Below are 25,528 nucleotides of genomic sequence, written 5' to 3' on the forward strand. Positions count from 1 at the left end.
AAGTTATAAGAAATAGCTTAATCTTTCTGACAAATCAAGAGCAAATATTTGAGTAATTTTTTTGCCTGAAATATGATAGGTGAAAAAGACACTCATCTATGAGTTTTCAATCATTAGATAAATTTAGCTGAAATGGGCTTCCAAAATTTTCTCTGTTAGAGATAGAGGAAATGGAGCAGCCACAAGGAAGCAACTTCAAGTATGATAAAATCACTTATATTTTGAAAACCATTTTTCAAATTCTTACTATGGATCAGTGATAATATGGTAAACTTGTTTATTAGTAAGCTCCCTCTACACTGCAAAATCATAAAATGTAAAATTATAAATAAAACAATACAGAATGTGATCTTGCTATGTTTATAGTAGGAAGTTCAAAATTAATAAAACAAAGTAGCTGTATTAAGGACATAACAGTAATGAAATATGTATAAACTACACTAAAAAGATAACCAGATAGGAATGGCTCCTTCAAATGTGAGAAAGTTTGGACATCCAAGTATAAGAGCTGTGGGTTTCAGTCTGTAACTGGATTTTCATTCAAGCAATGATAACCCTTCCCTGGCATCCATTTCATGACTGAATGCTAATTAGATACCCCAAGTTTAAAATGTTTCTTTTTTTTTTTTTAAGAGATGGAGTCTTGCTCTGTCACCCCAGGCTGATTCTCCCTCCTCAGCCTCTTAAGTAGCTAAGAACAGGCACGCACCACCACAACTGGCTAAATTGTATAAAAATTTTTGCAGAGATATGGTCTTGCTGTTTTGTCCAGGCTGTTCTTGAAATCCTGCCCTAAATCAATCCTTCCACCTCGGCCTCCCAAAGTGCTGGGATTATAGGCATGAGCCATTACACCTGGCCTTCTTTTGTTCTTTAGTCTTTAATGATTTCTGAATAGCCTGCTTAGATCCTCTCTAGCCAACACATGCGCACAGACCCCAAATTTATGTACCGTAAAAAATGCCAACCCCTAAATCAATGACCTAAATTAAAATCCTTGCTATGCCCTTAGCCAGCTATATGAAGATGAATAAATAGAATCAGCCTCTCTTGGCATTCCCTATCTGTAATACAAGTTTGCTGAAAAAGTTCATCTAAAACGGTAGTCTTAGCCCCGGGCTGGTGTGCATATGGCTCTGTGTATTTCCTCATCTGCAGTGGGGCCAAAGGTGTTCATACAGCTATTCTCGTGATGCTGATGGGAAAATTTACAACAAAAGACTTTTGAAATGGATATAAACATAAACATAAATGTAAGTTAAAAAGTTTTGGTTATCATATATGTATATAAATTTTTCTAATAAATATGAGTAACTATCATTACTTATAATATGGTAATTACTAATGTTTTTATATCTAGAAATCATATATAATATGTAATTATATAACATATAATATTATGCACATTATAAATTGTTACTATGAGAAGATATATAAGTATGGTTGTATATAATAGAGTTACCACATATAAATATATATGTTGTATGTAATAGAGTTACTATATGTAAAATATATGTTTACTATAAAAATAAGCAAACAGATAGCTCAATATATAGTTATTCTTAAAACTCAACGACTTTGGGCCGGGCACGGTGGCTCATGCCTGTAATCCCAGCACTTTGGGAGGCCAAGGCGGATGGATTACGAGGTCAGGAGTTCGAGACTAGCGTGGCCAACATGGTGAAACCCCGTCTCTACTAAAAATACAAAAAATTACCCAGATGTGGTGGCATGCGCCTGTAGTCTCATCTACTCAGGAGGCTGAGCCAGAAGAATGACTTGAACTCGGGAGGCAGAGGTTGCAGTGAGCTGAGATCGCGCCACTGCACTCTCGCCTGGGAGACGGAGCGAGACTTCGAAAAATCAAAAACAAAAACAAACAAACAAAAAACTTCAACAACTTTGGAGAAATAAATTATTTTTTGAAATTCTGCTTCCAGAAAATCTCTTATTTGCTTTACACTAGCTTAATTTTTTGTTTCTGAACAAGAATTTTACCATGTGGGTGCTGCCTGTTTCCAGCAGTGATTCTCTACGAGTGGATTAAAATAGCCAACCCTTTGGATAAAGAATTATACTCCATGGTTTTTCATGTGCTAATGTGCTTAGTAACAATGTAATGAGGATCAACTACAAGCCACATACTGTGTAATGTCAATGACACGAGGCTAAATAAGACAACATTCCTACACTTGAGCCACTCATCACCTGGCCCTACTGACCATGCCATCTTGGAATAAAATCTCCAGTTCTTACAAATTTGAAATCCATACTTGTTTATTATAAATGGATTATAATTCAAATTAAAACAAAATATGAAATTCCACCATTATTTTTATAGTTAACTTTGTTTCATTTAAACTCAAATAATTTTCAGTTAACAGAAATCACATTAATTACTCAAGCAATTCCTCTGAACACTTAGGGACCCTGCTAGACTGTGGGGATAAAACCAGCTATGCTCATAAGCCACCTCTTTGAAGAAAAAAAATGTTCTTATATGTGGTGTCTGCAAATTTTGTGGTATAAATACTCCTACTGCAGTTGATTTCAAATAACCACAATGTAACCACCAGCTCACAAAATCCTCAAATATTTAATGATCATCTCTCACAAGCTTGTATTAGCCAGCTTTAGCAGACCACTAGATAAATCATAAATATGTTCTATGGTAGTCTTCATATCTTAGTAGGGAGAAACAGGAAGACATCTAACAGGATCATTATTTTAGTAAAAGTTCTACGGGAACCCAAGAGGAAGGAATGCTAGAGGCCAGGGAAGGCTTTAGAGAGATGGGGATATTTGAATTGTGTCTTGAGGGATGAGTAGGACTTCCCCAGGGTGACAATGGTTCTCCAGGTCGAGATGGTGTAGAAACACGAGGATGGGATGTCTTGACAGAAGGGGCAATGTAGTAGAGGAAAGTGTGTAGAGCATAGTATGTTTACATTTTGCAATAATATGAGATGACCAGAGAGATGGGAGGGGCCAGGAAAGAAGAGGTACATACAGTAAGAATTGGGGATGTGAGGCAGAGCGGCTAAGAAGGCACTTGTGTGTCATATTAATGAGTTAAAGGGGCTTTGGTAACTTCCCCAATTGAGTAGGGCAGTGCCATGCTGGGCTTTTCATTTTAGGAAGAACACTCTAGAAGCAGTATAGAGGATACTTTGGAGGTGAGAAGAGGGGTGGCAGGATGACTTAGGAGGCAGCTGCAGTGCACTATGAAAAAATAAATGAAAGCTTGACCTGAAATGTTAAGTTTGAGGTGCTTGTGAAGATCCTTTATTATTTAAAACAAATCTGCCCACCCTAAAGAACAACCAAGGGGGAAATATGGTTTTAATGATAACAATAATGATGTTTAAGTACATAAGCATATTCTCCTCAATCTGTTTTCCCTTTTCATTATGGGACTTTGTTGTCAGCAGACAAATCTTATTGCCTTCCCTTTCTTGGTGTAATTAAGATAGTAAATTGAGTGGAATATTCCTTTTTTGTCATATCTCTATATTATGTTGCTTCAATCAACTGAAAATGTATTTGACTCTAGATGTAGTAACAAATCAGATGAGAAGATAAGAACAAAAGGGCATATTTGATTCACATGCACATTCTGACCAGTCCAGCATTCATCAAATTACATATTTTATGGAAATTCAATGATCTTGCCAAATGTGTAAAGAAAGTGTTAATCTTACCTTAAGGGGCAGGCCATGTTTTGTACAAAAAACAAAAACTGCTCTTTCAAAGCTAATTCAGTGCACAAAAAATCTGTGTACTGTTCTTATCATACATTTATCTCCCCATCCAAATCTTTTTCCCCAGTTTTGAACTAACACTTGCATATTTCCAATGTAGTGAAAATTATTTATGCTCTGTTTGAAATCTACAGTGTCCCAGCCCAGTGGTGATGTCAGCACACATAGGTTTCAAACTGATGGGTCTTAGCTGGCTTCTAGTTCTTCATGGCGGTTGTAGTAAAGGTTCCATGCAGAAGTTTTAAACTTCAGGCACTTGGAATCTTACTTCCTTGTGGCATCCTGCCAAACCCCAACAGATCTACTGTTTCTTTAGGACATATTAGCAAAAATATTAGTGGGGGCAGAATCTGAACACCACTCATGTATATGCCTGCTTGTAAAGCTTCTTTTCTACTAAGGATAAAAGCATTCATTTTTTATTATCAGAGGAGATAAAGACAAACTTTTATTTGAAGGACAAATTTTAAACCCATGTGAAAATTATTTTAAGAGCATGTTTATATTAGAGCAATTAAACTAACGAAGTAGTATATCATGATGCAGTTACAAGCTGGTGATTTTCAGGAAAAATTGGTTCCCTACTGCCCTTTTTGGGTAAACTTAATATTAAAAAAAATTTTTTTGGTACTACTGTTAGATAGGTAAAGCCCTGTGAAAGCCCCCTTCCTGCCAACTGGAGGGTCCACCTCAGAAATTCCCTTCACATGTGCTCCCTGGGCCGCCAGGTCTTTGAGTTAGCGACGCTCAGGAACAGAGAAGTGCAGAGACGTATGCGTCGCACAATGCTGGACTGGATTCAGCTTTTCTTTTTTCTTTTTTGAAACTGATGATTTCTCTGTCACCCAGGCTTGAGTGCAGTACAGTGGTGCAATCTCTACTCACTTCAACCTCCACCTTCCGGGTTCAAGCGATTCTCCTGCCTCAGGCTCCTGAGTAGCTGGGACTACAGGCACCCACCATCACCTGGCTAATGTTTGTACTTTTAATAGAGATGAGGTTTTGCCATCTTGGTCAGGCTGGTCTCAAACTCCTGACCTCAGGTGATCCACCCGCCTCGGCCTCCCAAAGTACTGGGATTACAGGCATGAGGCACTGTGCCCAGCCTGGATTCAAATCTTAACTCTTCTAATTATTAGTTCTGTAACCTCTCAGAGATTCATGTCTTCATTAATCACATGAGAATAATATTGTTCAGTTTATATAGATTTTGAGAAAACTTCCTAATCACCAGTGACAAATGTTTGTCATTTAGTGAATACTCAAAATGTTACTTTACTTAGCAAGTATAATTGCTAATAAACTCCAGATTGAACGGAAATAATTGAGTTAAACTTTCTTGATATTTTCAAGTAGCTCACTTCTTATTTTGTCTTCGCAACCACAACTTCCTTGCCCTTTCTCTTTTTGTGTCCCTTATTCTATTCTTTTACAAAGTTACAGCAGTTAAAGCATGGAGATTCATTCTGGAGAAGAATCAGTTTTGTGCATTCTCCTATGTTCTCTGCTCGTAATGGAACCGTCTCCAAACTGCATGCAACATTGCAAACGCACAGTGATGCTACATATGTGATTTCATGGGATAATATGATAGTCAAATTTTTCAAAGCACCAGGAGGAAGAGAAAACAGTTAACCTATGGTAAACCGTGTCAAGATAAACTGATCTTCAAATGACAAAATTAATATATAGGCAAATGTTAGAAAGAAGCAATTCAAGGACTGATTGAGAAGCTGATGGTCATTTTCTATGTATCTTGAAAAGCATTACAAACTAGTATGATATTCTTTCTTCTTGCTCACAAGTGGAAACTTCTCCTACTGTTCCTAGGCTGCCAATTTTTTTCTTTTTTCCTTCGCAAACTAGAGCCCATTCTGCACTCTCTCTCCCTGAGGTACATGTGCCTTTCCAAACTAATATCTCTCACTTTTTCCCTTCGGTTATATTCTTGTCCTGTCTTATTTGTCCTGGTGCCTTAGGGGAACCTTTCAACACACCTCATAAGGGCCAGGGAGTCCAAGAACAATACTCACTTTTATTTCCATACACTCCATCCTTCATCCAAACAGTCAGTTCTAAAATATGTTGAACTTCAGGTTTACCAGTGCTGCTGGCAGGGACAGGGGAGAAGGAAGATTTGCCAGGGAGATTTCAGAAGCACACAGAGCAAGAGGGCAGGGAGCGAGGGAGCACCATGTCTTGGCTTCTCACCTCCCTGTGTACGTTAAACATCATGATGCCAGTTTCTTCAGCTCTGGCTGGTGACAGTACTGGTTCAACCATCCCATGCTTTCCCCATTCTTTCCCTTGTTTGTCATCATTGTTAACCTTGACTTTGGGCAGAGACTTCACTATACAAAAGCTCTTTACAAAGGAAATGGATACAATGAAAGAAGAGTTTTATTTTTTTAAGCGACGTTGTAGAAGCAAAGAAGGTCTAGTTTTATCTCCCTTCCACCTTTTCCGTTCTCATTCTTATTCTCATCTCTCTCAGGCACCATAGACCCATCAGACTCCTTCCTTGCTGCCTCCCTCACAGGGTCATGAAGTTTTCCTTGTGCCTGGCCCCACAGCACTTCATGTTTCTCTACTGAGAAACATATCTAGGACAAGATACAGTGCTTGCCTTACACATATCGTATCCTCAAGATTGGTCAAATCTAATCGTGCTTTTCCCACATACTAGACATAAATTATTTGAGGGTAGGGATTGAATCTTCTCATCTGTCCATAACTTTCAGCACTGAGCACACTGCCCTGAGCAAGGAAAATGCCCTATACATTTTAGTTGAGTTAAATTGACAAAGACTGTCGTTTTTTGCTTTGCCAGATAAGGATAACGAAAAGTCCAAATCCATCATGTCAATCTCTTCATTAAAGTTCCCATTTCCTTAACTAATTCTAATTAAGGCATTAAGGCAAGTATAGTGGTAAAAATCCAGTCTTTGGAGCCAGAAGAAAAAGGTGTAAATTTCAGTATTCAGTAGAGGCTTAGGTCTCCACATCTGTGAAATGAGGTAAGGCCGTCTTCATGGAAATGCTGTGCAGAATGGAAGGGTTTCATGTACTAACGTGTATCCCAATCCCAGGAGGGTTTATGTGTAGAAGAGGAACTGGAAACAGCCTAGTACATTCACAATAGAGGAACAATTCAAAGGGTGAGGTCTCATTCCAGAAACTCAGCTGGATCCCTGTCTCCCACATTTAAACACTTGATTTCCCTCTCATTTATTTTTTCTTATGTCACTTAAGATATTAATTACAAAAAGCATGCAGTACATAATTTGTTAGGATATTTTCTACCAAGTGGGCCTAAAACCAGACTTAATTGAAAATGATCCAAGGTTCATTTTCCATGAAATTTTTCTGAGATAAAGCAAGAGAGCAAAGAAAGAAAGATTAAATCATAGAAAATAAGGCAAATCTACATCGCTCCCTACTCTGCTTACTTTTTGCATAACTCCAAGGTTATGAGCAATACAATGCTGAGAACCTGCAAATGAACAATTTGGGGTGGGTGTTCGCTCTATGTGTAACTCCAACAGGGAACATCTAACATCTTTTTCAAATACTTAAGCGAATTTAAAGAATCATGCCCAAGGGTTGACTAAAGCTATTTTATTGTAAAGAATTATTTAAGCAGCTCTTATTCCCACTCAGTGAAGTCAAGACATTCTAAAACATAATCTTGCAAGCTAGGTTGAGTCATTCTGCCAAGGGGGCTACTGACAGGATATATTCTTGAAAATACTCCTTTATCAACCCTATAGGAATGCTGTGCACCCTTTTTGATTATCACAAATTTGTGTTTAAAATCTTGATATTTATGTACTATGTACTTTGAATACATGAGCATGATACTTTAAATTTGCTAAAGTATTTGAAAAAGATGTTACAGGTATTCACTGTTAAGAGTTAAACACAGAGTAAACACCCATTCCAAATTGTCCATTAACAGCTCTCAGTATTTTATTGTTCTTTGGTATTCTTGTATATAATATGATATATACGAACAGGTTAAATACATTAGTTCTTTGCTTTTGTAAGTAACTCATTACAAATGATTTGAGAAAATTAAGGTAGACTTTTACATTTAAAGCATCCTTAAGAGATTTTTAAAGTAAATTGACCCAGAAGGTCCTTTAAATGGAAACAGTTGGGATTCTAAAGTAAATTGACCCAGAAGGTCCTTCATATGGAGATGGTGGATTCTAATGCAGACACTGGAAAGAATGTCAAGGGAGCTGTAATCAAATACTATATTTTGGCTGTTGGTAATTTACTGAACAGTTGACTTTTGGTAATTTATGCCAAAGGTGCTTTGATGTATAAGTAATCTATTTTCTTTTCACTTGCAGTTCAAGTACTTTGGGAAACACATTCACTATTTCAGACCATTCAGGCAGCTTATTGCTGCAATACCTCAGGGAACAGTTTATTCTTTAAGAAAATTTGGTGGAGTGTTCTTGAATTTTTGTTTTCTAAGGACCTCTGTACCTATAATCTAAAATTTTAGTATCTCTATTTTTCTAGAATAAAAGATACCATGCACTAAAGCCACCAGTTCAAATACTCTTGTCACCCTAAGAGCTCTTGAAATTGCACCTGGCGGAAAGCATTTCCCAGCTAACTGGAAATAAGGAAGAGTTCCCTTTCCCTTACCCTGTTTGTTCCTGAAATGCTCAAGAAGCTTCATTTCTACCTTCAGAAAACAATTGCAAGACTGCTTGTACTTTCCTTAGCTGTTGAAGTTCCTATGTCTAAGGATGTAAACATTTGTTTTGAGACAGTATTTCTTTTAATTATATATCTTAGAAGAGCAAATAGCCTACCTAGCATATTTAACTCAATCCCTTCAGAGGTCCCCAGTGAGAATTTATACACCTGAGCCCTAAAAGTCTGGGGTCATTCAGTGTTTCTGAAGGGCAGGCAGGTGGATATCAAGTCCACATCTTTTTAGGCATTACTTTTAATTACTTTAAAAGTAAACACACTTCCCATTTGAGTTGTGTTTCTTCCACTAATGAGATAACAGAGCAGTGTTCCTAGGACACTGGCTGCTCCTCAGTGATAGCAAGTAAACTGCACAAGCTACATCTGTAATTGGTTTTCTGATCCAGCCTCAGCAAACACACGTGAGTGAAGTTCATGGAAGGGATAAACGGATTTAGTTACCTTCACGAGCTACCTTCAAACAGCAGTTTAATTTTGTTTCCTTATAGCAGCTTCCCTCCCCCAGCCCATTAGAGCTTCTTGATTTATGATACAGTAGTTGTAGCTTTCCCAATCAAGACAGGATTTTCTCCTGTCAGAAAATGTGGCTCCCTAGGATACCGCCCTGGGAGAGTAAATGAGATTCTAATAGTTCCAGATTATCACTAAAGGCAGGGTCAAGGAAATAACTTTTATTTTCTTTCTATTAACCGCACATAGCAATGAAAATTCTCAATTAATAGGTTAATTTATATGATTTATAGTTCAATATACAGAATATTAATCATGAGACATTAAAAGAAATGCTTCCTGTTAATATCACTTTTCTATAGTATCTAAGTCGCTTTATAAGCTACATGATTTGTTACAATTAGGCAGGCATGTTACTTATGAAGGTCAACATAATATTGGAAGGGCCCAAGGGCCATTTGTTTTTACTAATACTGTACAATTTTCACTTAATATCTAGAATTTGCTTCCTTGGTCTTACAAAGTCAAATTCGTTTACAATGGAATCTGTTGCTATTTTTTGAGTATTTTGTGTATCAGAGCCTCCTTGTAAGTGGTTTGCTATCAACAAATAATCAAACAATGACAAGCTGGAGGTCATTACCCTTGAAAAACTTCATTGGTTTAGAAATTCAATTCAAATTTTGTACCTTATTGTTATCAATAAAATTTATGGCTAAATAGCAGTAACATTACATGTGGGATGTCTACTTGAACTAAGCACGGAATCTGTTCCCAAGATCTTAGGATCTAAAAGGGGAAACCAACAAGAAGCTAGACCATTTGCAACACAATGTGACCAGCGGTGCAAGCCATGTATGAACATGCGTCCTGATAGTGCCCCAGCTGGGAGTGTCTCTTTGAGTGACCTTTAGGCCAGCACCTCCTAGATACTTGGTCATTTTACTGGGAACTCCTTAAGTTCAGTCACTGGTTACCTGCATAATTGGAAAAGAGTTTTTATGGATGACTTTAGGAGCCATAGCAGAGAATTAGCTCCTAAAGTCATTCTTGACTCTTCTGCAATCAGAAAAGCACCATGATTAAGTAACAGTCTCTATGATGAAGCCACCTAGAACAAGCAGATCTTGAAGAGGAGTGAGTCTAGAAAGTGAGGTTAGTTTTTGGCCTCTGTGGAGAAGGGAGGTGCTGGCGCAACCCTTCACCTGCACCCCAGTTATGTGTATTTCCATTTCTAGGTGCAAGAATGGCCCTGCAGCATGTAAAGAAAGTCTACGTAGAAAATATTTTAATTTATAAATTTTTAATCTAAAAAATGTATGTTATTCTCCATTACAAGTTGTAGGGTGGGATATTTAATCCCACAGATTTTACTCTATTGTGTATTAGAAAAACGGAGAAGGTTAATGCCCTAGATTTAATTCAGATGATTTAACATTTGAAGTTCCTATCCCGTGAGTTCTGTTCTTTGCATGAGAGAGCCAGTGCACACACACCTATGTTAATAGCAGCAATATTCACAATAGGCAAGAAGTGGAAGCAACACAAATGTTGATTGACAGAGGAATGGAGCAACAACATGTGATATACACTTACAAGGGAATATTACTCAGCCTTGACATCATAGAAAATCCTGTCCCATGCTGCAGCATGAGTGTACCTTGAGAACATTATGCTAAGTGAAATAAGCCAGTCACAAGTTGACAAATACTGTACATTTCACTTATGTAAACTATCTAAAATAGTCAAATTCATAGAAACAGAAAGTAGAACGCTGGTTACCAGGGGCTAGGGGAGGAGGAAAAGATAAATTGTTGTTTAATAGGTACAGAGCATCAGATTTACTAGATGAAAAGGTTCTGGAGATCTGTTTCACAACAATATGAATACATTTGACACTACTAAACTATATACTTAAAAATAGTTAAGATAGTAAATTGTGTTATGTGCTTTTTCAACAAAGAGATAGTCTACTGTTTTCACATTTTAAAACATTACTATGTCAGAAATCTTGACTATTGAAATCCACTATATATATAGATGTAGGCTCGAAGAAATATAGTACCAAGTAAGCAGTGCATGGCACACATTTCTGTCACGCAACTTTAACAGAGGGCCTGCAGAAAAGGCAGTGAAAATAGACCAAATATGATGATTTAATCCTGACCTGGAAAATGATTTAGATGAACTCATAAGGTTCCCTCTTTCTCACTTATCTGATAACAAAATTGAAATACCCTTAAAAAGGAAATATAAGCTCACCATTGCATATAACAGATCTGTTGTTTGGAAAATCAGATCTCATAATTGTATTTGGGGAGGGAAGAAGGGAGGGAGGGAAAGAAGGAAGAAAAGAAAGGAAAGAGGAAGAGAAGGAAGGAAAGGAGGGAGGAAGACAGGGAAGGAAGGAAGGAAAGAAAGGAGGGAGGAAGGAAGGAAGGAAGGGATGGAAGGGGGAGGGAGGGAAGGAAGGAAGGAAAGAAAGAAAATAAAGAGAGGAGGGGTAGAGAATAGAGGGCAGAAAGAAGGAAAAAAGGTAGGAAATGAAGCCTGGATGCAAAACCTAATTCTTAAAGAAAGCTTTATGACATTCTCATTATTCCTACAGAACCTGCCATTGGAAAGACACATATTGCAAATGACGTGGAACTTACAAAGAAGGAAACAAACTTTCTGAGATCTAAAGTGTAGTTCTAGAGGCCCACGTATTTCATTCTCTGCAAATGAAAACCAGAGTGTTTTTATTCATTCCGCATTTTTCCCTAGAGATTTATTTGGCTCCAGAGGAGACCTATACTATATGCTTAAAATGATTGGTATTAATGTTGACTTTCAGACAGCCAAAACGTTTGAGATGTAACAGGGAAGGACTGGCAAGCTTCACACACGTAGGCATTATTCTATTTGCTATCATATTTGTGTGAGATATGTTTATTGCAAAATGCAGATTACCAAGTGAAATCTGGGCAAGTGTTTCGAGGCAATCTTGAGCATATGCTTATGGTACCAGTTAAAACATTTTAGACTGAGAATGAGAAGGGCTTAAGAGAGCTACTCTGCTGGGCGCGGTGGCTCACGCCTGGAATCCCAGCATTTTGGGAGGCCGAGACAGGCGGATCACAAGGTCAGGAGTTCGAGACCATCCTGGCTAACATGGTGAAACCCCATCTCTACTGAAAATACAAAAAAAAAATTAGCTGGGTGTGGTGGAGGGCGCCTGTAGTCCCAGTTACTCGGGAGGCTGAGGCAGGAGAATGGCGTGAATCTGGGAGGCAGGGCTTGCAGTGAGCCAAGATCTCGCCACTGCAGCACTCCAGCCTGGGAGACACAGCGAGACTCCGTCTCAAAAAAAAAAAAAAAAAGCGAGAGCTACTCCAAGAATAATGACTGTGAATATCAGAAGGACATATTTAGGCATGTTTCATTCTACCAGTGACCAAGAAGTGATTATCCTTTACATGGTCATTTCACTGAGAAAGACAACAAAGAAAATGGCTGAGAAAAAAGATGGTTGATAATAAATAGAATGGAATGTTGGCACCCACAGAAAACAAATCTAGAATTGGAAGACTATGAATGTGCACATTTTTAGATTGAGGTGAGTGAGACTGTGGGGAAAGCAAATGCCTTTCTTGAGTTTGTGAGTTTGAATATCTCTTTGCCTCTCTGTACTCTATTGTCTTTTAATCTATTAAAGAAAATAGTTTCATTATACTTTCTCCTTTTAAAACCAAGAATAGTTGTTCTTTTCTTTCCTGATGGAAGAAATCTGTCAAATGATAGTTTGGATGTGTTTGCTGTTTTGATATAAAGACTCGTCATGACTAGATGACAAAACAGAGCAGCAATTTCACATTCTCCTATGAAAGACTTAAGCAGTTGTTTTCTGTTGCCAAAAACACCCATACAGACTTAAAAGCAGATCATAACTTTCGTAGTTACGGGCTTTAATAATGGAAGGGGTGTGGCTATATCTGAGGAAAATATATTTTTTATCTTATCTTTATGATGCAGGTTAACTCTTTTAGTGAACTTTGCCTGAATTATTATGCTTTTTACTTGATTGCACTGTATTTGAAGATATAATTTGTATTTCAAATAGCACTCAGCAAATGTATGTTAAACATTCAGTTCTGGCCTGGGGTGATGTCTCACACCTGCAATCCCAGCACTTTGGGAGGCCAAAGCGGGCGGATCACGAGGTCAAGAGATCGAGACCAGCCTAGTGAACATGGTGAAACCCTGTGTCTACTAATAATACAAAAATTAGTTGGGCATGGTGGTGGGCACCTGTAGTCCCAGCTACTCGGGAGGCTGAGGCAGGAGAATCACTTGAATCCAGCAGGCGGAGGTTGCAGTGAGCCGAGATCACACCATTGCACTCCAGCCTGGGCGACAGAGCGAGACTCCATCTCAAAAAAACAAAAACAAAAACAACAAACAAACATTCAGTTCTATAATATTTGTTGAAAGCTAACACTATAGGGAAGGATGTTTTGTTTTTGAAATTTTCTCTCACTTTCTATTTTTTAATTGCTAGGAAATTACCTGACTGACAGAACACTTTCTAGTGTTTTTTCTTAGAATTACATAAATTACAGAATTGAATTATTTCCGTTCAATACAAGCTAATGTAAATCTTGACTCCACTCAGGAAGTTAAGTAGCAGTGTTCTAGGTATTTACGCTTCATCGTGCTATCTGGAGAGTAACTCATACCTGTCCTGAACAGAAAAAAAATAGTGGTGATACAAATAAGATGTTGTATACCACTTTTAACTTTTCACAGTTTTTTCTTGTGTGACTTTTAATTCTCACAACAGTGGTGTAAATTAACTTGGGTGTACAGTGAAAATCAAAGTGTTTAAATGCCTGAGCTTGCACACATATGTAGTCACTATGGAATCCAGGATTTTGTATTTAAATGGGAATATGTACTCAGCTAAGGCTCAGGGAAAAACAAAGGAAAGCTGATATACACCAGGCGCACATACACACTGACACCCAGGCACACACACACACACAGACGCCCAGGCCCGCACACACGCTGACACCCAGGCCTACACACACGCTGACGCCCGGGCGCGCATACACACTGATGCCCAGGCAAACACACACTGACGCCCAGGCCCACACACACACGGACGCCCAGGCGCACACACACACTGACGCCCAGGCGTGCACACGCACTGACGCCCAGGCACACATGCACTGACGCCCAGGCGCACACACGCACTGACGCCCAGGCCCACACAAACCCTGACGCCCAGACACACAAACGCCCAAGAGATTTCGCATGTAATTTGCAATCTGGCTGTGTCTGTTCTCAGTTTGGAGTTTGCATATATCCATACTTATGTTTGTAATCCCATGATAGACTTTATCTTTTTCCCATTACTCTTCTCAATTCTTTACCCTTCTTGGATGCGTACCCTTTGCCATTTGACTAGTGACAGAGCAGACTTGCCTGCTTTGGTGCGGCTGGGCATGGCCGTGTGTTTGGCTCGGCACATGGTCAGTGGATGGGTGTTAGTCACAGTGTGCCAGCTCTGAGCATCAGCGCTGGGAGGCATTGCAAGCCACAGAGCTGTCCCTATTCTTCTGGTCTTGGGTAGCCTGCTGGTCCAAGGAGAATGAAAGACAAGTGGAGCGTAACTACATCTAATATGAAGCTTGGAGCCAGCCTGGCTGACTCAGTCCAGGTCAGCTGGCTCCCAGATGACCCCAGACACATGGAAAGAGTGCCAAGTGTGGTTTTAAGATGCTAAGTTGTGGGTTGTTTGTTTCCTGGCACTATTGTTACACTAGCTAATATCCTACGTATTATGTACTATCAGCAGCCATGAAATATGTTCTAATTCATACATGATTGTGAATCCTCATGCAAAAAAGCTCTTTTTCTTTTCTATTCTTAGGGTATAGTAAAGTAGCCTCTTGGATCCAAATAAAGTGAGCTCAATAATATTCATTGTTACATAACAAATAGCCACGCTAAGAATGTGCCATCATAATTTAATCACACTATACTGATCATCAGGATTCTTCTTTACAAAACAGAGAAGATAATACCTTTTCATTCCACCCCTTGGAATTCATTTGTTCATTTACTAGCTTATTCAATTATTAGCTGTTGAGAACCTCTTATTTTCCTAGGATATACCATGGAATAAGATAAAGCCCTTAATGACACAGGCTTCTAATCTATTCGGTGACATAGCAAAAGGAATGGCTACTTTTCAATACAATGAACACGATAATGAAGCTAAGTTCTTGGTAGTGTAGGCAGACAGTGGAGAATATTTTAGGCAGGGAAAGCAATATTTGAGTTAAGCCTTAGAGGACTGGAGGAGGGGAGGACATACAAACTTATATTCTCATAAGCTTAATAAGTACAATTAGAAAAAAAATAACTTGACACTAGACAATCTGTTTAAACAATTTTAACCAAATAATCAAGGTTAATTTAACTAATAGTGAGACAAATGAACGTCTTCTACCTCCTGATCCGAAGCACTGAGAACACAGTATTACTTATGCAGTGCTTTTTGCTAAAAATGCATAACCTGAATCTAATCGTGAGGAAGTAGCTGACAAATCTGAATTGACAGACATTCTACAAAATAACTGGCCTGTACCCTTTTAAAATGTCAGTGTCATGGAAGACAAAGGAACACGGTGGAACTGTTCCGCATTAGAGGAGACTTAACAGCACGATATCTTAATGAGTTTGCAGCATAGGACGTCATTGGGACAATTGGCAAAATATGAATAAAATCTATAGGGTGTATAATAGTATTATATAAATGTTGATTTTCTAATTTTGATATTTGTACTATGGTTAAGAAACAGAATATTCTTGTTTTGAAATAAACACTGAAGTATTTAGGAGTAAAGGGGAAAAATCTGCGTGTATGTATCAGAAAAACCAACACTTCTTCTTCCCTTGCACAGTCAACACAACAGAACGTTCTGTGACCAAAGTGTGGTGGATTTCTCCAAGCCAACAACTCATTGTCCAGCAGACACCAACTGGGTGTCCTGCAAGTTATCTGGATCCTGACACTCGCCGGAGTCAGTGCAGAACCCACAGGGGAAGAGCCCAGTCTTGTAAGATGCCCTCACTTCAGCAGCCCATCGCAAGTCCCACGTGGCGACCTTGTGACCTGTGCTTCTGACTGCCCAGCTATCCACAGGGTTTTCTGGACCCTCTCCTCAGGTTTAATAGTTTGTGAGAACAGCTCATAGAACTCAGGAAAATATTTAACTTATATTTACCTACTTATTATGAAGGATACAGATGAACAGCCAGACGGAAGAGATGCACAGGACAAGACGTGGGAAGGGGCAGAGCTTCCATGTGTCTCCGGGTGCAGCAACCTCCAGGCACCTCCGCGTGTTCAGCAATCCAGAAGCTGAATCCCAACCCCACAGTGCAGGGGTTTTTATTAAGGCTTCATCACATAGGAGTGATGGGTCATCAACGCCATCTCCAGCCCCTCTCCCCACTTCCTGGAGGATGGGTGATGGGGCTTAAAGTTCTAAACTTCTAATTCTGGCTTGTTCTTTCTAGGGGCCAGTGCACCTCACCCCCAGAAACCCCCCAAGATTTGTTGCATTCAAATAAAAGTGCTCCTGTTACTCAGGAAATTGCAAGGGATGAGAAACTCTGCATCAGAAACCTGGGTCAAAGAACAATGATTAGAAAACAAAATGCACCTACCACCCCCATGGCTCAAAAAAATCAAAGGGTTTTAGGATCTCTGTGCCAGAAAACAGAGGACAGAGACCAAATATTTATTTTGTATTGTACCACAACATCACTGTGTGTGTGTGTGCAGATGGATAAAGAGGAAGAAGTGTGGATAGAGCAAATGTGGCAAAATGCAAATATTTGAGGAATCTGGGTAAATGATATGTGTGGGAATTTCTTGTATAATTCTTGCAACTTTTATGTGATTCTGAAATTATGTCAAAATAAAAATTAAAGTAAAACAAGACAAAAGGATGGGGAAAAGGGTTGATCCTAGGGTAAAATGATGACAGAATTAAAGGTACCAGAAATAGTATGTATCAAGTCGTGGGTACATGCCCAAACTTGACATGGAAAAATAAAGACTAACGGCTCTCTCTTTTCTGCATTTAGATGCAGCATTTTACTGTACTAACTTTTCTACATGAAAATAAAACTCACAAAATCAGAATGGGCTCTGAAGGTTGTACCAATGTCAATTTCCTGGTTTTGATATTGTGCCATAATTACATAAGCTGTTACCATTGGGGGATACTGGGTGAAGGGTACACAGGACCTCCTAGACATTTCTTTGCAACTTCCTGTGAATCTATAATTACTTGAAAATGAAGGTTTGGGTTTTTTAAAAATACTTTTCTAACTCCCCCATACAAAGGAAAATTTATTTTGTTAACCTCATATTGATGTGAATAACTTCGTGTACTGAGACTTTTACCTCTAAACAGGACTAAGATTTTTCACATTTATGTTAGTAAAAAAAATTAGTAAATTTTAAATTTAGTATAAAATTTCCAAGACCCATTTATTTAATATTCCATTTTAGGATGGCAGAGATTCTCTCCTTGACTGAAATCCAGCCAGCCTCCTCTGAGCTCTCTTCTCCACTAGGGCCCGACCTTGGCCTATCAAGACTTGAACAAACACTAGCACAGTTTCCCACAGCTGAAGGCCGCAACCCTCAGGTGACCCCAGTCCCCCATAAGTGCCTGCCTGAGCAAACTCAAGGCTGCCAAAAGAATTTACTGTTTGTTCCAGCCCACACCTGAAGCTGGAGCCCCTGCTTCCCAGCCTCTGTGTGAGGGTAGGAGCCTAACGTTAACTCATGTCCAGCTTTGGCAAAGAGTACATTTTATTTTTATTTGCTCTGTCACTAGGGCATCCACATTAGCCATAGTGCTGCAGGATTTCACATTTCAGAAAATCTCAAGCAAAATGTAATCATAGCTCCTGTGAATTGTGCATCTGCTGTGACCCAGACATTGTGCTTTCCTTTACTCCCACCCATTCCTCATCACAGCCCTGCAAAAAGAAAACAACAGCAACACCGTGCACAGGCCAAGTGGCTTGGTGATAGGGCTAGTACACGGTGGCGGAGACTGCGGACCCAGCGTGGCACATCACGGGATGTATCATTCTGCTCAGCTCGTCAGGCTGGCCTGCACCAGTGAGCGCTTTGTGTGCTACCAACTGTCATAATTATTGAGCTAAGGAGCTCGATAATTATCAGTGGAGAAAATTCCAAGGCTGATCATATTAGAGCTTTACTTAATTTTTGATACCTGATTGCCGACAGTTTTGAAGCCTGACCTCTCCCTCCTCCTCTTTGCTCACATCTGCGCAAGCTGATGAGAATGTGTGGGCTGCTGTCTTTTGGCACCCACAGGAAGGCTCTGCCCCACCAGGGAACCCTCACCCCAGCCCCACCTTCAAGCCACCACACCAGTCTCCTTTCCTGGCTCGTTCAAGACATTTTTGGATCTGCCTGGGAATTGCTCCCTGATCTCCCCAAAAGCTCTCATTATGTGAGAAATAAAGCTTTTCCTGTTCTCTTGGTGTATGTGTGGAATCACCAGTCTTGACCTCTCAATCAAATTTTGTGTGGGGAGTCTCTTGTACTTCTTCAGAGTGGCCACAAAAGGATGAACCACTGAAATGTTTAAATATAAAGAAATCTGTATTTTCAATTCAGTTAATCTTCAGGCCATAGAATATAACTTGTCTCTCATATGGAGCTTAAAGTTAGCATTTAGTTGACATAAATGCTCCAAAATTCACGGTACACGTTGATGCTAATACCTCGCACACCGTCCAGTAACTAGGCACATTTCAACTTTCATTCTCAAAGATGCAAAGATTTCTGGTTTGTAAAAGCAGCTTGGAATGTTCTTTCTGTGAAAATAACACATTTACGAAAACACACTTGGTGTGCATTTCTTCTGAAGGGAATATATATTTCTTTATGGAGCTTAGAATTGCTTATGAAAACAATATAAAACCTGTCCGTATTCTATTATGGCCCTATTTATACCTTCATTCCTAATAAATATTTTGCATTCATTACTGACTTTTGACTTTGGGTGTAATATAAAGAAAACATAAAAGCATGAAATGGTGGTTACAATTTTCAGTTTTAAAAAGTCATCTTAATGTTTCTTTGGAAAAACATGTCTCCTCATGAAAAGAAATAGTCAACAAGTTCATATTTTTTAGAAAAAGTTAAAAGCACATACTGCCAGAAAAACTAAATTCTCTCAAATTATATTAAGCAAAGACAAATAAACTTTTATACATTCCTTGCTTTAGCATTCCCACAAATGCATACTTGCTGTTTTAAAGAAAAATGATCAGAGAGCACAAGAAAGTTAGTAGAAAGTAAAATTTTATACAGAAGTGTAGCTGCACATTTCAGTATTAACAGAAGTCCTGTAATAGAATTACCATGCCATATTTCAATATTAATACCAATAAAAAGAAATACCAGTTTTCAGAAGCAGTATAACAGCCCTCTGCTGTAATTGGGCCCTCCTTAGTGGGAGACAGTTTTGACTCCCTGTTCTTGATACACACAAAGCTGTAAATATGGCCACTTCCCTGTTCAAACCCAGAATGGAAAAGCCCCTGATAAGAAAGTCTCGCTTAGCATGAATTTTTAAATTATTATCCTCCAGCTATACTTTTCACCTCCATGCACAGTATCTATATCAAACAAGCTAAACAGATTCAATTTCTTTCCTCCAAGAATTTGTTCAGGCCATACTCAAATGTATAGGCTTTAAGTGGGGTGGGTCAGCAAGAGAACAGCCAACCCAACATGGGTAAATCTTGTTTATGAGGGTGGAAAGTTTTAATGCTTTACTTGATTCATTGCTAGACAACCTTTCCATCCAAGAGGCCACTATTTTTACAGGTAGCTTCAAAGTATATCAAATATAAAAGAAACAGAAATAATATAAAGAAAATAAGAAGCCATAAATAATTTCAATGTACTTATTTAAAATTTTATTAAGTAGTCATCATTAATTTCTTAGATGTTTGAGAGCAAACCGTGCATAACGTGCCTGAGCGTAAGAAACTAGCAGTACAGAAGAGGAGATAGAAATCTGAATGCAAAATAAATAAAAATAAATAAAAGAAATCTGAATGCACGCCGGCAACAGGGTGTGATGAGTTCAATTACAGAATTCTCTACCAGACACAGTAGAACTCGTTAGCTTTGCCTTAACTACTTACGGTCACCAAAGCAGACATTTTAGTTGGACATAGAAGAAAAGGAGTCAGGGAGGGCAGGGAGAGGGTAAGGAAAAGGGGGTGGGACACTTTTTAGGAGTAAATGGCCTGTCCGAAGCACAGAAATACGGAAGACCTTGATAGATTCTAGACAGTGTAATAAGAGCAAACTGTTGGCAAGAGGACTGCGAGATAAGACTGCCGGGCTGACGGAATCCATATACAGAGACTGGTGATGGAGGTCCCTGGAAGGCCAATTTTCTGTATAAGCAATGGGGAAGTGTATCAGTCAGATTTTTTTTTTTTTCAGAGTCTTGCTCATCACCCAGGCTGCAGTGCAATAGTAGCATCTCAGCTCACTGCAATCTATGCCTCCCAGGATTAAGTGATTCTCCTGCCTCAGCCTCCCGAGTAGCTGGGACTACAGGTGCGCGCCACCACGCCCAGCTAATTTTTGTAGTTTTAGTAGAGATGGGGTTTCACCATGTTGGCCAGGATGGTCTCGATCTCCTGACCTTGTGATCCGCCCGCCTTGGCCTCCCAAAGTGCTGGGATTACAGGCGTGAGCCACCGCACCTGGCCCAGTCAGGGTTTTCTACAAGAATCACAAACAATTCCAGTCATTTTAAGTGGAAAGACATGTAACACACAAAGTAAAATATTTTCAGGATCTGTAGAAGGTCTAAGGAGTAGGTCTGAGATTAGCCTCTTGGAATCGCATTACACTTCAAACAACACAGACTGGAGTAATAGAGCTATTCTCTCTGAGGCCACCACACTGGAACTATGCTGGAAATAAGGGGTTAAAACTGGCATCTCTGCCACCACCACCTGTCAATATTCAGGAGCCTATGTAACAGACGCTGGCTGGCTGCTGGAGGAACATCATATTTCCATGGACTTTCTTATAAACGGCACCCTCCAAAACTTTCACAGAGACGGACTCTGCTCACTCCTGCATTCCAAATATCTCATGAGTTCATCAATACAGAATTCTAGCATCAAAAGAATCTAGGAAGTGTAACTGAACTTTCCAATCTTCCCAAAGAGAGAAAAGATGCAAGGGAGACTGAGTGAACCAACATAAATAATACAGCAGAAATACCATTAACAATGCTATGCAAAAAAATTGTATATTTGAAATCTTCTAATATTTCTTATCTGTCAATATAGAAATATGGATGTCATAGAAAAGGCATAAATTAGAATAGAAGTTTTGCATATATATTTCTAACCTGAGTGCTTATTTATAATATGGAAATCGGTTTCTAGGACAAGGAAGAAAAGAGAAATCGCTCTTTTATTTAATCAGGAAAGTTTATGAAAGGCAGGAGATTCTGAGACCTCTCCATAAAGGAAAAGGAAGCTTCTTTGCAAACAAAGAATAATGATTCACTTCAGCTCTAGAGAAATGTATGAAGGAAGGGAGGAAAAGAGTTGAAATTCAGAATAAGAGTGTGATTCCATTACCTGAAGAGGCAAAAGAGCAGGAGGAAATTGGACAATCTAGGGTGGGTGAACTCCACAGTATGCAGAAGCTGGTGTTCTTGCCTGTGAGGGTGAGGTTATTTAAAGTAGTTCATCAGGGGAAGACACAGGGTATCTCCCAGGTCCACGGGAACTGGGGTGTGGAAATAGTGTCAACACTGTTCATTGAAATAATGTGTCAGCTGGAGGGGAATGGTCAGCCTGGAAAAGCAGAAGTAAAGTTGGTGGGAGTTCAGCACCATCTGAGCAGAAGTGAACCCAGAGGCCTCCCTAAAGCAGAATTCTTTCAGTACAGCAGGATTGTTGCAGTGAGCTTACCCAACACCACCTTGATGACATTCACACTCATCACTTTTCCCCTCTTGCTATAAAAAGCTAATACACAGTCAGTGACACAGTGTTTGACCTTTCAGTTACCTGAACATCAGGAAGCACATGTTGTGGGTGGGGTGAGAAGGAGACAAGCCCTATTGTGCATATGCATGTCTATATTATCTTCTATACATACCTTTTCATGATGTCAAAAGATCTTTCATCTACAGCTACATAATGTTGAAGTGTACAGAAAAGGAAGCTGAGATTGAAATACTGGAGTGTGATGAATGAAACCCAGAGACCAATGTCCCAAACATAGCCCAGTCTGCATCTCCCACATGAAGGAACCCAAGGAATGGGTAGGAATATTGTGATACTCCTTAAATCATAGTTAGGTAAATTATTCCAACACCTGCTACCTAAGTAGCATTTACCCATGCCTTTCATAGGAAAGAGAGTCTGCCAACTATCTATTGGAATAGAAAGTGAGGCAGGTGGAAGAATCTTATTTGTCAGTGTTAGATTCCTTTGCAATGACAAAAACACATCTATACAGGAAGAAAGCTATTTTATCCCAAATACTGAATGCAACTTTGTTTTCCTTTTGTCTTATTAGTCACGTTTCCATATATCCCCACTTAAGTGACATGAGATGGATGGGTTTCCACAAGGATCAGCTGGAGGAGTTTCACATCCATCTGGCAAAGCTGCATGAAGATAAGCCTCGTGTTTTCCAGGGAACTGCATTGCTCTACAGAGGCAATGCCGAATTATTCAATTGCTTTATGAATATTTCCTCCCATTAACCTCTCTCTGAAAATTTGCTGATACGCATTAAGTGTCTCTTAACCAAAATGCTTGGAACCGGGAGTGTTTTGAATTTTTTCAGATTTTGGAATATTTGCATAGACATAATGAGAACTCTTAGGGATGGGACCCAAGTCTAAACGCAAAATTCATTACTGTTTCATATGTATCCTATACATATAGCCTCAAAGTAATTTTATAAAATATTTTAAATAATATTGTGCATAAAACAAAGTTTTGACTGTATGTTGACTGTGATCCGTCATGTGAAATCAGGTGTGGAATTGTCCACTTGTGTTATCATGTTGGTGCTCAAAAATTTCATATCTTGGAGCACTTCACATTTCAGATTTTTGGATTAGGAATGCTAAACCTATATTGCCCTGTGTCATGGGTCCCTAACACAATCCATTTACTCTTTACTTATTTATTTATTTATTTTAAAAATGTTTACTGAATTCACACTATGAGCAAGACATTGTTTGGTACAAAAGACCAAATTTGGTAAAACAAACAAACAAAAAACATGCTCTTATGGCTAAGAAAAATAAGCGAGGAATAAAATGGATCTTAAGATGAGGAGGATGATGAATGACAAATGTCACAATTAATATATAGAAGGTACTGTCACTTCACCTAGGGAAACTGAGAAAGCTTCCTTAGCTTTGGAGCCATGAAGGATGGCTAACATTTACACAGGCATAGGTATGAGTCTCAGTAGAGAGCCAAGAAGAGCAGGAGCCTGTTGTGAAAAGCAGTGAATTACTTATTTGGCTAGTGGGTAGGAGGCAGGAAAAGTAAACCTGAAGCCTTTGGGGATGTTTGCAGGTAGCTGTATCTATTGCTGTTTGGTGCCCAGAGTATATGACTGTGTGGCGTCATTTAATAATGCTTTAGTGGAACATTTCAAAGTAGCCCCGCATAAAATCGTTCAGCGTAAGCCAGATAATCCTACCTAGTTTGAGAGGCATTTCCAAACTAGACTCCTGGGCCAATTTGCCATATTGCTACATTGTGCTGGGGCTAGGATCTGGGCCAATATGAATCTAGCTTTCTTTAAACCAGTTATTATATCTTTGCATAGTATGTGTTGCATCCTGGGCTGAAACTGAGCCTTGGAGGGAGCCTAAAAGAGAGTGAAGAATAGCAAGGTCTCTAAAGTCAGACTGCCTAACATTTCAGTTCTGGCTGGAGACTCCAGAATAAGTCACCAACTTTATGCAAATATCACCTGTAAAAACAGGACAATAACAGCACCTGTCTCATGGAGTCATTATTAGAAATCACTGAAGTGAGAGCTCAATAGATATTACCTGTGATGATGACATTTGAGATGCTCATGGAGTTAGTCTGTTCTCAACATTGCTATAAAGACATACTGGAGACTGGGTAATTTATAAAGAAAAGAGGTTTAATCAGCTCATAGTTCTGCAGGCTGTACAGGCTTCTGTTTCTGGGTAGGCCTCAGGAAACTTACAATCATGGCAGAAGTTGAAAGGGAAGCAAGCCCATCTTCATATGGCTGGCAGGAAGTGTGGGGAAGGTGCCTTTAAACACACTTTTAAACAAGCAGATATAAGGAAAATTCTATCACAAGAACAGCAAGGGGGAGGTCCACCCCCATGATTCGATCACCTCCCACTGGGCCCCTCCTGCAACACTGGGAATTACAATTTGATATGAGATTTGGATGGGAACACAGAGTCAGACCATATCATGATGTAAGGTGCTGGTAGTTTGGCTGACATTTCAAACAAATCTGGCTCAGGCCTAGGGTTTGCAGAGTCACATGGGCCTACTTGGGAAATTACAATAGCAGAGCAAACCTTCTAAATACATTTCACTTCCAGAAGCTGCACTTGGATGAAATACTGTCTCCTGAAGCTCTGAAAGTCCCTTTTCTGTGCTGCTCAAGGAAGCTCTAAAGACAGGTTGGTTCTGTGCTACTCCAAATAGCTCCAAAGACAGGTTTGGAACAATGACCCATAAAATGTCCATACATTTTAGGATACTAATGAAGAGCAATACTGGTCCAAAGTTCAGTGGTCAGAGTATGGGTGTGTTTGTTTTATTTCAGAACATCTGTATAGCATTTTCATTGCTTATACAATAGCAGGTATCTTCAGTATTATTTAAATTGAACTTCTAAACCTTCTTTGACAACATACCACGTATCCATTTATACATACACACTAAAAATAAGAGGGTGCATCCTTAATTTTAAATCAGTTGCATAGATTTCATTGTATAGATATAATTAGTAATTTTCCTGTTTATTGGCATCTCAGTTATTTCCAGGCTTCTACTAGCAATATTATCATGAATAAATTGTATGTATGTTAAAAAATAATAAGCTCATTCTTAGTCCTTGTTGAAAAAATTTTGTGTTACTTTTATGAGCAGGATGCAAGACTCAGACAAACAAGGCCTAGGTAGCTCATACTTTATTCTTTTTGCAACAACTTTTGAAAGGCTTGGAATATTCTGGTTATAGATGAAAGATGCTGTTATTTGCTATTTCTCTTCTTCTCCAAGTGAAGTTCTAATGAAACCATGTGTGGAAGAAATAAATCATTGGAAGGTCAAGAAGCTTCAAAAACAAAGTTTGAACAAGTTCCTGGTATTGTTGCTGAGTGTTAAATATTCTCAACTTATCATTTGCTCTTCTAGCTGCAGTTTTGCACAAGGAAGACAAGTGGGAGCAATTAAATCCTGCA

At 39.1% G+C, this 25,528-nt stretch overlaps 2 long non-coding RNA genes across 2 annotated transcripts in view; one reads left to right on the plus strand and one right to left on the minus strand.

Annotated features, from left to right (window-relative positions):
- The window catches only part of LOC339975 (uncharacterized), a 201,531-nt gene that overhangs the window by 44,981 nt on the left and 131,022 nt on the right, over positions 1-25,528 (minus strand). The window lies entirely within an intron of this gene.
- Positions 21,585-22,858, plus strand: LINC02514 (long intergenic non-protein coding RNA 2514). Its single transcript, NR_149103.1, has 3 exons — positions 21,585-21,712; positions 22,232-22,363; positions 22,621-22,858. It is a non-coding gene; the product is annotated as a long intergenic non-protein coding RNA 2514 (long non-coding RNA).

Source organism: Homo sapiens, chromosome 4 (genome assembly GCF_000001405.40).
Source record: "Homo sapiens chromosome 4, GRCh38.p14 Primary Assembly".
In the NCBI taxonomy this organism is placed as follows: Eukaryota; Metazoa; Chordata; class Mammalia; order Primates; family Hominidae; genus Homo; species Homo sapiens.